The sequence below is a fragment of the Homo sapiens genome, chromosome 2, assembly GCF_000001405.40.
Source record: "Homo sapiens chromosome 2, GRCh38.p14 Primary Assembly".
NCBI lineage: Eukaryota > Metazoa > Chordata > Mammalia > Primates > Hominidae > Homo > Homo sapiens.
In genome coordinates, this window is record NC_000002.12 from 25,516,316 (window position 1) to 25,530,799 (window position 14,484).

General features: G+C 39.3%; 1 protein-coding gene across 30 annotated transcripts in view, besides 6 other annotated features; it reads right to left on the minus strand.

The window, feature by feature from the left end:
- The window catches only part of DTNB (dystrobrevin beta), a 296,335-nt gene that overhangs the window by 139,073 nt on the left and 142,778 nt on the right, over nucleotides 1-14,484 (minus strand). The window lies entirely within an intron of this gene.
- Nucleotides 1,814-1,958: an enhancer, noted in NCBI's record as "145 bp 2:25741070 sequence used in MPRA reporter constructs". NCBI's record gives its function as "activates a minimal TATA-containing promoter with rs144013880 allelic activity by MPRAs in C283T melanocytes {active_cell/tissue: C283T}" and the evidence as "EXISTENCE:reporter gene assay evidence [ECO:0000049][PMID:36423637]".
- Nucleotides 1,886-1,888: a transcriptional cis regulatory region, noted in NCBI's record as "rs144013880 or 2:25741070 MPRA-significant variant associated with a GWAS melanoma risk locus at 2p23.3". NCBI's record gives its function as "allelic transcriptional activity by MPRAs in C283T melanocytes {active_cell/tissue: C283T}" and the evidence as "EXISTENCE:reporter gene assay evidence [ECO:0000049][PMID:36423637]".
- Nucleotides 6,043-6,092: an enhancer, noted in NCBI's record as "active region_15460". NCBI's record gives its function as "activates an Ori minimal core promoter by ATAC-STARR-seq in GM12878 lymphoblastoid cells {active_cell/tissue: GM12878}" and the evidence as "EXISTENCE:reporter gene assay evidence [ECO:0000049][PMID:35858748]".
- Nucleotides 8,396-8,475: an enhancer, noted in NCBI's record as "active region_15461". NCBI's record gives its function as "activates an Ori minimal core promoter by ATAC-STARR-seq in GM12878 lymphoblastoid cells {active_cell/tissue: GM12878}" and the evidence as "EXISTENCE:reporter gene assay evidence [ECO:0000049][PMID:35858748]".
- Nucleotides 10,120-10,264: an enhancer, noted in NCBI's record as "145 bp 2:25749376 sequence used in MPRA reporter constructs". NCBI's record gives its function as "activates a minimal TATA-containing promoter with rs6546237 allelic activity by MPRAs in UACC903 melanoma cells {active_cell/tissue: UACC903}" and the evidence as "EXISTENCE:reporter gene assay evidence [ECO:0000049][PMID:36423637]".
- Nucleotide 10,192: a transcriptional cis regulatory region, noted in NCBI's record as "rs6546237 or 2:25749376 MPRA-significant variant associated with a GWAS melanoma risk locus at 2p23.3". NCBI's record gives its function as "allelic transcriptional activity by MPRAs in UACC903 melanoma cells {active_cell/tissue: UACC903}" and the evidence as "EXISTENCE:reporter gene assay evidence [ECO:0000049][PMID:36423637]".

A 14,484-nucleotide genomic window follows, 5' to 3' on the forward strand; every position in this document is an offset into this window, starting at 1 on the left:
GGCTCACTGCAGCCTCAACCTCCCAGGCTCAAGTCATCCTTCTACCTCAGCCACCTGAGTAGCTGGGACCACAGGCATGCATCACCCCACCCCGCTAATTTTTTTGTATCTTTTTTAAGTAGAGACGGGGTTTTGCCATGTTGCCCATGTTGGTCTCGAACTCCTGGCCTCAAGCAATCCTCCCACCCCAGACTCCCAAAGTGCTGGGATTACAGGTGTGAGCCACCGTGCCCGGCCTCCCATCACTTTAGAAAACAGTTTGGCAGTTTCTTAAAATATTCAACATACCCTTGGCTGGGCATGGTGGCTCACGCCTGTAATCCCAGCACTTTGGGAGGCTGAGGCAAGCAGATCACCTGAGGTCAGGAGTTCGAGACCAGCCTGGCCAACATGGTGAAACCCCGTCTCTACTAAAAATACAAAAATTAGCTGGGCGTGGTGGTGGGCGCCTGTAATCCCAGCTATCTGGTAGGCTGAGGAAGGAGAATCACTTGAACCCAGGAGACAGAAGTTACAATGAGCCAAAGACCGTGCCATTGCACTCCAGCCTGGGCAACAACAGCAAAACCCTGTATCCAAAAAAAAAATAAAAAAGTTAAATATATGCTTGCACTGCATGACTCAGCAGTTCTACTCCCAGATATGTACTAAAGACAAATGAAAACATATGTCTACAGAAAGACATGAATGTTCATAGCAGCGTTATTCATAAGAGTCAAAAACTAAAAATGAGACCAATGTTCATCAACTGGTGAATGGATAACAAAATGTGATCTATTCATGCAAAGGATATTTTCAACATTAAAAAGAATGACCTATTTATTCTTGAAACAAATGGATAAACCCCAAAAATATTATGCTAAATGAAATAAGTCAGAAACAAAAGACTACATATTGTACGATTCTGTTTATGTGTAATTTCTAGAAAAAGCAGGAAGTAGTTTGGTGATTGCCTTAGGGCTGGAAGTGGGAGCTGGGATTGACTACAAATGGATAGGAGGGAACTTTTTGGATGATGGAAATATTCTTAAACAGGATGGTGGCAATGGTTGCAAAATTGTATAAATTAACTGAAAATAATTTAACTGTCACAGTGGGTGAAATTTACAGAACATAAATTACACCTCAAAAAAAAAGACAAATCAAAATCACAATGAGATATTACTCCATACCCATTACGATGGCTACTATAAAAACAAATCAACATAGAATAACAAGTGTTGGCAAGGATGTGCAAAGTTGGAACTCTTTTGCAGTACTAGTGAGATTATAAAATGGTGCAATCTCTGTAAAAAACAATATGAGGGTTCCTCGAATCCTCAAACAATTAAAAATTGAACATATGATCCAGCAATCCCACTACCAGGAATACATACAAAAGAACTGAAAGCAGGGTTTCCAAGAGATCCATGTTCATAACAGCACTATTCACAATAGCCCAGAGGTGAAAGCCACCCAAAATAATATTCCATTGTATGTAGGTACCACATCTTACCAACGGTGGATGAATGGATGAGCAAAATATGGTATCTACATACAATGAATATCATTCAGCCTTAGAAAGGAAGGAAATCCTGTCACACGCTGCAACACAGATACTGCAACACAGAACCTTGAGGGCATTATACTAAGTGAAATAAGCCAGTCACAAAAAGACAAATACCATATGATTCCACTCACATGAGGTATGTAAAGCAGTCAAATTAATAGAAACATAAAGTAGAACGGTGGTCACAGGGGGTGGAGGGAAAGGGCATTGCTGTTTAACGGGTATGGAAAAAGTTCTGAAGATCTGTTTAACAACAACACGATTACACTTGCCATTACTGAACTGTACGCTTAAAAACCGTACACTTAAAAGAATTAAGATAGTTAATTTTATATTATTTTTTTATCCACAATAAAAAAAAAGAATACTAAGGGATGATGATTTGTGAAGTTTTGTGAGATTTTGAGTTTAAAAGCAGAGAGCTTTATAGTAGGATAATGGCAAACAGGGTGAGAAAATCTCAAGGGCAGAGTGAAACTCAGCAGAACAAAGTCATAGCCACTTGTAAATAATCACCCTCCTTGGACTAAAGCTTGATGGTTCTGAGTTTTGTTGTATTACATAATGCTGTTTCTCCTCACTGCACCATACTCATCACATTTACTGTTCACATAAGCATCCCTCTGTCTCTCACACACACACACAGAGGTACCACACATATATATGCACATGTGTGAGTTTGTGAGTGCAAGTTCCCGTCTCCCTCACCCCAACACACACACACTCACACTCACGTACACACACACATGCACACACACATACATACTGAGGTTCAGGCAAAAACGTTATCCTATTTCTAGGACTGTCTTAGATGATGCATAGCCCTCTTTGCTCTTTCTTTCCTTTTTGGAGAGGTATAATTCCAGGGCTAGTAAGCAACCTTAAGCTCAGAAGAATGATTCTGGGACTTTCAGCCTGAAACGGAGCAAAACAGGTAACATTCATACCAGGACATAGTGAAGCTCAAGGCCCTAAGACAACCCTGTATTCCTCACCTTCTAGGTTTTCAAATTCATCCCAGCAAAATGCAAGCCAGAAAGAGTATCAGATGAGCTGTGACCTAATGGCCTTCACATTCTAGGCTATATATACAGGAGAACAAAAAGCAACTCTTCTTTTACCAAAAAGACAAATTGAATAGACCCCAAGGTGCCTAATGGCCCACTGGTAAGCAAAATCATGTCACCAACGGTAAGTTTTTCAAAATCATTACAGCAGGCCAGGCACAGTGGCTCATGTCTATAATCCAGTGCTATGGGAGGCTGAGGTGTGAGGACTTCTTGAGGCCAGGAGTTCAAGACTAGCGTGGGCAACATAGCAAGACCCCATCACTTCAAAAAAATATAAAAATTAGCCAGGCGTGGTGACATGTGCCTGTAGTCCTAGCTACTTGGGAGGCTGAGACAGGAGGATCTCTTGAGCCCAGGAGTTTTGAGGTTACAATGAGCTGTGATCATGTCACTGAACTTTAGCCTCGGTGACAGATCAAGACCCTGTTTCTACTTTTTTTTTTTTTTTTTTTTACTTTTGTTTTCTCACTCTGTCTTATGGTGCTGACCCTGTCTCTAAAAAACAAATAACCCAAAAAATCATTACAGCAAAATGCAAGACAATTAATATCAGATGAGCTATGATCTAGGAATCAAAGTACAAGTTGAGAATCCCTTATCCAAAATGCTTGGGACCAGAGTGTTTCATATTTTGGATTTTGGAATATTTGCATTCTATTTACCCTGGTTGACCATGCGAATTCCAAAAATCTACAGTCTGAGATGCACCAGTGAGCATTTCCTTGGACTGTCACGTCGGCACTCAAAAAGTTTCGGATTTTGGAGCATTCCAGATTTTGAATTTTCAGATTTGAGATGCTCAACCTGCATATTTACCTGTCAGAAATGGTTCAAGATTACAATCTTCCAAACAGGTTCAGTCTCAGGAGATCAAGATACCTAGAATGAATCTGATACTCCTTTCAAGCAATTGGAACATCAGATTCACCTAGAGGTCTAAGAAAAAAGTATCATCTTGTCAGTTTCCTCAAATAAGACTCTAGTCTCCCATCAAAAGAAGAAAGCCCAACTCACAATACACACTCAATAAATACTGTGGAAGACAGTGTTTCAACCCAGACTAACTTATCAATATTATGAATTCTGTAACACCCGATAATTGGAGAATACAATAAAACCAATTAATAACTCTCTTCAGAAAAAAAAAATTGGCTTATTAAAGTTGTAGGCTAGGGGCAGTGGCTCTCGCCTGTAATCCCAGCACTTTGGGAGACCGAGGCGGGTGGATGACGAGGTCAGGAGTTTGAGACCAGCCCGGACAACATGGTGAAACCCCGTCTCTACTAAACATACAAAAATTAGCCAGGCGTGGTGTGTGACCCAGCTACTTGGGTGACTGAGGCAGGAGAACTGTTTGAATCCGGGAGGTGGAAGTTGCAGTGAGCCGAGATTCTGCCACCGTACTCCAGCCTGGGCGACAGAGCAAGACTCCGTCTCAAACAAACAAACAAACAAAACAATTAAAAATGGCTGTAAACAGCAAGGCAATTCACCATAAGTGCCCTTGTCACAAAAGCCATTTTTAACTCCAGACTCATCCATCATTTTAAAAGAAGTGTCACAAAAATGTGCTTTAATAATTAAACAACATAAACAAGAAGTTAGACTTGTTCTTTCACAGGGTTACAAATGGTCTTATATTATTCCTGGTCTGGTGAATTCTGCTGATATATTTAAAGTTGTTATGAATAAGTAGAAAACAAGCATATTTGTGTTTTACCAAAAAGTTCATAAGCACTGATAGCACCGATACTTAAAGCATAATTGTCTAAAGTTCAAAAAGAAGATTTATGAGGTATAGGAAAAAAACAACAAAGAGAACAGATTTTTTAAGTTCATATCAAAGTAATGTATACACAGAGTCTAAGTCAGTATTAAACAGAAGAGCAGTTAAAATAGAACAAATTAGAGCCACATTAAAGTATTACTGTAATTACAGTTTTATAATTACAGTATAATTTAAATAACAGTATAACAGTATTTTTTAATTATCTAGGTTAATTCTGTTTTGATGCAATGTGCGGAGAAAATTGGTTGGCTTAGCTGTTCAAACATGCTATATATTTATGTATGCAAAGGATGCAAGAAACAAATAAAAGACTTTCTGTCAGTAAGAGGCAGTCTGGTTTCTAGGTAACAAATTTTATCTGAGTCCTTCAGCAAAAGGTGTTATCTTCACCGCTGCGTGAAAAAACAACTTGGGCCATCAAACCAAAGATGATGATCATTCAGAAAAAAGAGTCTAAAGAAGCACAAAGTGCCCTAAATTTGCAGTTTTTAGACACCCTTCTTTGAGAGCAGGGGTTGGCAAACTTTTTCAGGGCCAGATAGTAAATAATATAAGCTCTAAGGGCCATTTGGTCTCAGTCGTTAATGACTCAATTCTGCCACTGGAGCTCGAAAGCATCCATAAACAACATAAAAATGAGTGAGTATGGCTGTGTCCCAATAATTTTTTTTTTTTTTTTTTTTAAGACAGAGTCTTGCTATGTCACCCAGGATGGAAAGGCACAATCTCGGCTCACTGCAACCTCTGCCTCCCAGGCTCAAGCAATCCTCGTGCCTCAGCCTCCTGAGTAGCTGAGATTACAGGTGCATGCAACTGTACCCGCCTAATTTTTATTTTTTTAGGAGAGACGGGGTTTCGCTATGTTGGCCATGGTGGTCTTGAACTCCTGTGATCCACTCCCAACTCAAGTGATCCACTCCCCTTGGCCTCCCAAAATGCTGGGTGAGCCACTGAGGCCAGTCCCAATAAAACTTTACTTACGGACACTGACGTGATTTTCATGTAAGTTTCACTTTACAAAATATTCTTATTTCTCTTCAAACATTTAAAAATGTAAAGGTCTTGTTAGATCATGAGGGACAGGTTGGCCTTAGCCTGCAGGCTATAGTTTGCCCACCCCTATTAAGATGAATCCCAGGTGTGTGCAGCGGAAGACACTGGGCTCTTTCTCGCTAGAATTCAGGGTAATAGACACACTAAGCCAACACGTGAAGTTTTGCTTCCCCTCAGAAATAAATCTACACAAACTGAAATGCAATGGTGACTAACCACTAATTAAAGAGATTAGGCTTAAGAACTCTGTGGTTAGAAAATTAGCAAGAGCAAATTGCTTGAATTCGGATCACAGGAAGCCTGTTAGAGGCATCCAGAGGTAGACGTGGTATAAATATGTTTTTGCCAAAAGAAGCAACTCATTTCTCTCAGAGACCTGGAAGTAAGAGAAGTTGCTAGAGTGCTGATACGTGAATTGGCTTTGTTTTGAATACACGTCTTGCAATTTATTTGAAAAACCTTGTTTACTCAATATTCTCACCACCCCCCAGAAAGGAACACAAAGAAATATGCCTGACATCTAGTGGTGGCTTTGGGAAACTGTAGGTACATGACTTGTATTACTTTCTGAAAGAAAACCAAAACCAAAACAAAACGCAAAAACATAAATGGTGGGGAGGAGTCAGATGCCTGTGTATATAAATTGTGTTGGGTATAATTCATTCACTCAATACATTTTAGGTGCCTACCACGCACCAAGCAGTATTTCAGGTAATAGGAATTCGGCGGAGAACAAGATAAAGTCCAGCCTTTGTGGAGTTTACATTTTTGTGACATGATTAACTTTATTTGAAGGAAAAGACTTTAAAAGTTTATAGCCTTCTAGCCACTTAAAAGCACTTTCTCATACATTATCTTAAAAAAATCCTGAGACAATTAAGACAGGTTTTATTAACACCATTTTACAGAAAGGCAAACTGAGGTCTTTTTTTTTTTTTTTTTGAGATGGAGTCTTGCTCTGTCGCCCAGGATAGAGTGCAGTGGTGCAATCTCGGCTCGCTGCAACCTCTACCTCCTGGGTTCAAGCAATTCTCCTGCCTCAGCCTCCCAAGTAGCTGGGATTACAGGGGCCTACCACGACGCCCAGTTAATTTTTGTATTTTTAGTAGAGACGGGGTTTCACCATATTGGTTAAGTTAGTCTTGAACTCCTGACCTCAGGTGATCCACCCACCTTGGCCTCCCAAAGTGCTGGGATTACAGACATGAGCCACCGCACCAGGCCTGGAGTCCACACATTTTCTAAAGAGTCAGACTTCGATTTGTACTAATTTATTATTTTGCTGGCTACACACAAAAGGAAATATTGGTGAGCCTATCAGAAAAGTCTATCAACAGCATTAACCTTCAATTAAAAGGATCTCATGAACTAAATTCTGGTTAGCCTACTGCAACTATATAAAACTGGCTTCTTCACTCTCACTCAAACCTATTTGCAAACACTCAAACCTATTTGCAAATGCACAAAGTACTATGTGAACACTGTTAGCACCTTGCAGAGTAGCTAGAAGGTCCTCAATAAGTATTTGCTGAATTAATGAATAATTAAGAATCTTAGCAAGCGTTAAGAATTGCTATTCATGGCTGGGTGCAGTGGCTCACGCCTGTTATCTCAGCACTTTGGGTGGCCAAGGCAGGCAGATTGCTTGAGGTCAGGAGTTCGAGACCAGCTAGGCCAACACGGCGAAACCCCATCTCTACAAAAAATACAAAAAGTTAGCCAGGCATGGTGGCACGCACTTGTAGTCCTAGCTACTCAGGAGGCTGAGGCATGAGAATTGCATGAGCCTGGGAAGCGGAGGTTGCAGTGAGCTGAGATCACACCAGTGCACTCCAGCCTGGGCGACAGAGCAAGACTCTGTCTCCAAAAAAAAAAAAAAAAAGAACTGCTACTCATATGTTTGTATTTGTACTCTGCATTGCACTCTGAACATTTCTTAATACTTAGTGTTGAATTTTTAGTTTGCTTTCATATAACTAAAACTCTTTATGTCCTCCTAATGCAGTGGTTCTGTAAACTGATCAGATGTATTAGGGAACTTTTTCAAAAGGTGGATTCTTAGGCCACTTCCAGAATTATGGTTAAGTTGACCTAGAATGGAAGTAACTTGGTCATCTGTACTTTTTTTTTTTTTTTTTTTTTGAGACAGAGTTTCCCTCTTCTTGCCCAAGCTGGAGTGCAATGGCGTGATCTTGGCTCACCGCAACCTCCACCTCCCAGGTTCAAGCAATTCTCCTGCCTCAGCCTCCCGAGTAGCTGGGATTACAGGCATGCACCACCACACCCAGCTAATTTTGTATTTTTAGTAGAGATGAGGTTTCTCCATGTTGGCCAGGCTGGTCTTGAGCTCCGGACCTCAGGTGATCCGCCTGCCTCAGCCTCCCAAAGTGCTGGGATCACAGGCATGAGCCACCGTGCCCGGCCCTTCTGTACTTTTTAAGGCCTTCTGATTGATCTTGGTATCAGCCAAGTTTGGGAACCATTAACACGTATTGAATACAGAAAAAAAAATCTGTAAGACATAGAAACTCAAAGTTGAAAGGATCCTCAAAAGTTATCTAGTCAAACTAAATAGGATTAACTGCTCAACATCTCATCTAAATCTGAAAGAGAATCTACCAGAGCTTTTTTTTTTTTTTTTTTGGTGGGGGGGGTGGTCTGCTGACTATATTCTTGGCTTGGGAGTAATTCGGACTGATAAATAGTTAAACTATAAAATCTGAATTCTAGGTAGTATCTTGTAGAGTTGAAGACATTTGTAGAACAAGTTACTACAGCTGACCAGTATCTGGTTCTCCTCTCCTCCCTAGGTACACAGAAGGCTATTCAGGCTTGAAATTAGGTGGGGCTGTGAGGCAGGTGGTATGTGTCATTTCTGAACCAAAGCACAGAAGAATGGCTCTGAGCTGTCCCTACGCTTTCTTCCCCTGCTGCAGCAATGAGGAGGGCTCGTGTGAAGATGGTGGAGCCACAAGAGTAAAGCAGCCTACACCATCGAACCACTGCCCAGGTTGGCTGCTCCAGTCATTCCAGTCCACAACGGACTGGGTGTGAGTAACAAACAAACATTTATGAGCTGAACCACTGAGATCTGGTGGTTAATCTGCTACTATATTATTACTCGTGCTATCCTGAATATGTAATATTCATATCCCAGGACCCAGTAGTTAGCCTCCTACCTTACAGGATTTCTCCATACAAGAATGCTCAAAGCAGCACTGTAGGCTATAGTGAAAAATCGGAAATAATGTCCAGCAATGAAGAATGAATTACTCGTGGTAAAGTCATTCAATGGAATACCATTGGAGATTTTGGATAAATTTCAAAAACATATTACTTAATAAAGTAATAAACTTACAGAACGACATGTAGAGCATGACCATTTATATACAGTTTTAACATATCTGATTTTTATAGATGTATAAATATCTAATAAAAGTAGTTTAAAAAGTATAAAATCATGAATACCAAACAAATGATAGTGGCTACCCTTTGGGAAAAGGAAAGCGTGATTAGATGAGGAAGAGGGACACAGGAGACCACAGTTTTATCTACAATGTTTTATTCATTTTTTAAAAAAGATCCAAGCTGGGCGCAGTGGCTCACACCTGTAATCCTAGGAGGCTGAGGCAGGTGGATCACCTGAGGTCAGAAGTTCAAGACCAGCCTGGCCAACATTGTGAAACCCCACCTCTACCAAAAATATAAAATTAGCTGGGGGTGGTGGCACATGCCTGTAATCCCAGCTACTCGGGAGGCTGAGGCAGGAGAATCGCTTGAACCCAGGAGGTGGAAGTTGCAGTGAGCCAAGATCGCTCCATTGCACTCCAGCCTCGGCAACAAGAGCGAAATTCCGTCTCAAAAAAAAAAGAAAAAAAAATCCAAGGCAAATATATAGAATAAAATAAGAATTAATAAGGAAAAATCCAAGTTCTAATTCTTAGCTCTCAGTCCCAGCTGCATTTTTACTTAAATTTCTAACAGAAAACTCGATATGGGGAGGGCTTTTTAAATAGAAGAAACGTGAAGTCAGGTTCACCCAAAGACAGGGAAGTGGAGCCACAGAAAGGCCTGGAACCTCTGAAGGAGGGGTGAGAGGTTGCATTAAGATAAGAGGACTGGTTGAAAGAATGGATAAGAAGCAGCAAATTCCCACCCAATCCCCACCACCTCCAGCCACACTCCCAACACCACATTGCCAGATGACTACTCCTTTCTAGGCCCACCAGGAAACCAGAGGTTACTCTCAAGTCAAACTAAGCAGAAAGCCCCTGAGCTCAGGAGCCCCAGGTGGAGGCAGGGGTATGGAGCCTGAATGAAAACGAAGAGATTAAGTGAAATTCTATGCTAAAACTACTGGATTCTCCAACATACTTCTCCTGGTCAGGATTCACAGAACTTTTGACCCCAGAACTGTATCCTAGATATTAATACATAGAAACTCTCATGCAGCTCCATGGGGGAAACATGCCATACACTGTGGCATTATATGTGGAGGCAGAGGTCTAAAAGCAACCAACGTGTCCACCTCAGGGAGAACGGACAGGTAAAATGCTGTTCACAATAGCACTTATAAATATATATAAATATATATATATATATATATATATATATATATATTTTTTTTTTTTTAATTGAGACAGAGTTTCACCCTTGTCACCCAGGGTGGAGTGCAATGGCGCGATCTCAGCTCACTGCAACCTCTGCCTCTCAAGTTCAAGTGAGTCTTCTGCCTCAGCCTCCCGAGTAGCCGGGATTACAGGCACTGGCCGCCACGCCTGGCTAATTTTAGTATTTTCAGTAGAGACAGGATTTCACCATGTTGGTCAGGCTGGTCTCAAACTCCTGACCTCAGATGATCCACCCACCTTGGCCTCCCAAAGTGCTGGGATTACAGGTGTAAGCCACCATGCCCAGCCATAAATAAATATCTTAAAGGGACATACAGAACAATACTTTTTAAGAACGTATGCTAACAAAAACATACACGACGAGCACATTAGAATGGTTATCTATAGGGGAAAAGGTGACTCGAGTGGGACATTTCCATAAAGGGGAATTTTAAAAAATATGATAAATAGCACAAATAAAATGGTGGAAAAAGTCCACATATCATAGTAATGATGTTAATAACAAATGTCTTAACCAATTTTAAAAAACTGAAAAATACAGACCATTTTCCAGACTAAAAGTAAGTTATAAATTAATAACAAAAAGGCAACTAGAAAACCTCTATATGTTTGGAAATTAAGAAAGTATACTTCTCAAAGAAGAATCCTAACATAACTTGGGAAATATTTAGAAGTAAACAACAAAAAATATTATACAGTAAAACTTGGGTAATACCCAGATAGGGTTCAGATACATTTACAGCCTTAAATGCTTCTACTAGGGGGAAAAAATAAAAAAATTAAAAAACCTGAAATGAGTAAGCTAACCATGCCTTTAAAGAAATTAGAAAAGGAGTCTGGGCACGGTGGTTCACGCCTGTAATCCCAGCACTTTGGGAGGCCAAAAGGGGGTGGATCAAGAGGTCAAGAGATCAAGACTATTCTGGCCAACATGGTGAAACCCCGTCTCTACCAAAATTACAAAAATTAGCTGGGCGTGCTAGCGCATGCCTGTAGTCCCAGCTACTCAGGAGGCTGAGGCAGAAGAATCACTTGAACCCGGGAGGGGGAGGTTGCAGTGAGCTGAGATTGCCACTGCACTCCAGCCTGGCGACAGACTGAGACTCTGTCTCAAAAAAAAAAGAGAAAGAAAAAATGCCATAAATACACGAGAGTGGAAATAAAAAAGGCCCATTAGCACACATACTGTGGACTTACAAAGACAATAAAATATTATGAACGTTGTATCAATAACCTTTAAAATTGAGAGAAAATTAATAAATTCCTACCAATACAAAATACTCCAAGGTAACTTCAAAAATAAATAAACAATAAAAATAGTCTAATTGTTTTTTAAAAATGGAATTACCAGTTAAAAATCTTCCCACAAAGAAATCTTCAGGCTTAGATGGCTCCATTAGTGAGTTTCATAAAAAATTTACAAAGAAAATAACCCTTCCAAATCTTGAACAAGCTCTTCCAAAAATATGAAAAGAGAGAATGCTCCCCCATTTTGCAAGAATCACACACTGGGTGATAAAAACAACAAAATAAAAATAACCCCCAAATCTAGGGAAGTTACAGGCCAGTTTCACTCAAAAACATAGCCAAAATCTAAACAAAATATTAGCAAACAAAACCTAGCAGTGTATTCAAACAATGGCCAACTCAGATTTATTCTGGGAAGGTAAAGATGATGCTAAAAAACAATTAATGTAATTCACTACAATAACAGAATAAAGAAAAAGTCTTTGATCATCAATAGAGAAAATCATATAATCATCTCAATACAGAAAAACTCTTTGATAAAATTCAGCATCCATTCATGACAAAAAGAAAGCATTTTTATTTCTAGCAAACTAGAAATAAAAGGGAACCTCTTAAACCCGATAAATAGTTTCTACAAAACCTACATCAAATAACATACTAAATGAATGCTGAAAGCATTCTCTGTGGGATTAGTAATAACACAAAAATGCCTTCTAAACCACTTCTATTCAGTATTGCACCGGAGGGGCTAGCCAGCATAGTATGCTGCTAGCCCTGCAAAAAGTATGATTAATTTTCAAAAGTATAAGGTACAGAAGGGAAGACACAAAGCAGTCATTATTTGCCGATTATATAATTATTTATAGAAAATTCAAAAGAATCTGAGTATAAGGTACCAGAATTAACGAACAATTTAAGCAAGATAACTACATAGACAGTGGACTAAAATACAAAAACTATTTGCATTTCCATACACTAGTAACAAACTGTTAAGAAATATAATTCAGAAAATATTCCATTTGCATAACAGCATACGCTTACCAAAACACATCGAATTGTACACTTAAAGTAGGTGTATTTTATTGCATGTAAAGTATATCTTAAATAGCTGTAGGAAAAAGGACACTACTGATACTTTTTGTAACAGCAATTACAAATGTCAAGTGACATGAGAGTTAACCTAATATATAAAGACTTTCCTGGGGAACAATTATAAAACTTTACTTAAAGGTATAAAAAGATATTTAAATAAATGCAAAGACACATTCATGGAATGAAAGCTTTAATACCAGAAGGATGTCAATTCTCCCCAATTTGATCTTTAGATTCAGTGAATCTCTGATCAAAAATCTCAACAAAATGTTATGAGGAACTCAATAAGATGAGTCTAAACTTTATATGAAAGAGCAAAGAGCTAATAATAGACAAGACACTCCAGAAAAAGTAGATTACTTAGTTCCTTATGGTAATTAAGACAGTGAGATATTGGCATAGGGATGGACAATTTGACCAAAGGAGCAGAATAAAGAAACCAGAAGCCAGCCTGTGCGTATTTGGAAACTTCATTTTTGACAATGGTGGCATTGTAGTCAGTGGGGAAATGTTGAATTATCTAATGAATGACCCTGAGACAAGTTATTATTCAAATGCAGAAAGCGAGCGGCTGGGGAAGAGAACTGGATATTCTACATCACATCACACACAAAAATCCATTCCAAATGAATTAAAGACATATGTGAAAGGGCCATCTTTAAAACCTAAAGAAAAAAGTAAGGAGAAAACCACTATAATGTTGAGAGGCAGGCAAGGAAAAACACGACCCAAAAGGGAAAAAGGTTAACAGATTTAACAAAAAAAAAAATTGCATTATGGGGAACAGATAAACTGTGCTATGGAACACTGTGTAGGGGTGGGAGACATCTTTTTTCCCAAGAAGAAGAAAGCAATGAGAAACCGCAGGAAAAACAACAACTGTACAAGAAAATCAATCCAGTTAAAAATTCAATAGGAATGATTTTCGGTAATCAATGGTAGGTAAGAAAGAAGAGCCCAGTGAACTCCAATGAGACAGTAACTGCACAAAAGGATCCACAGAATTGCAGCACACTATGTGACTGTGTAATGAAGGATACTAACTGTAAATGCCATTATTTGGCTTTATTAGATTTAACCCTTGATCAATCTCAGAAGACTTAGTTATGGTTATCGAAGAGAATAGAAACATTCTCAGCTTTGACAACATAAAAATAAGGGCACAGATGGCAGACGTTAGGAGGCAAAGGAAAAGTAGACAGAAGGTGCTAATTTTCTGTTTACAAAGTGGAAGTCAAAAAGAAGTTATTAAGAAATAGAGTTTTTAAAATATTATTTAAAATTAAAAAGGTAACCAACTTAAAAATGGTGATATAATTATGAAAAACAGGGATGGGTTGGTATGTAGAGTTAGAGATGAGGCTGATTCATTACACCACAAAAGTAAGTCAATAATGTCTAAAACTGGCTGGGCGCAGTGGCTCATGCCTGTAATCGCAGCACTTTGGGAGGCTGAGGCAGGTGGATCACTTGAACCCAGAGTTCAAGACCAACCTAGGCAACATGGCAAAACACCGTCTCTACTAAAAATTAAAAAAAATTAGCTGAGCATGGTGGCCTGCACCTATAGTCCCAGCTACTTGTGAGGCTGAAGTGGGAGGATCACTTGAACCTGGGAGGTGGAGGCTGCAGTGAGCCGAGATCACACCACTGCACTCCAGACTAGGTGACAAAGCGAGACCCTGTCTCAAAAAATAATAATGATAATAATGTCTAAAACTGATAAGTCAAGAAATGGTGCTCCAAACATATTATTTAGAAATACAGAGATAACTATTAGTAGATTTAAAACCCAAAGGACAGCGAAGTGTGGGAGGGTATGTTGCATTCATTATAAGCTCTTATGGATGAATGAATTTGTAATTCACATGCATGGATTATTTTAATAAATATAAACAGGTATCTAAATAATTGAAAGAAAAAAGGAAAAAAGATCAAGATTCTCTAGAGCTCATTTAGTCAAACTACCTTCCATCAGGGAGGTGAAAGAAAATGAATGCCCACTCCAACAGAAAAACTTCTGACACCTGATAAAGATTCGTGATCCAAAAC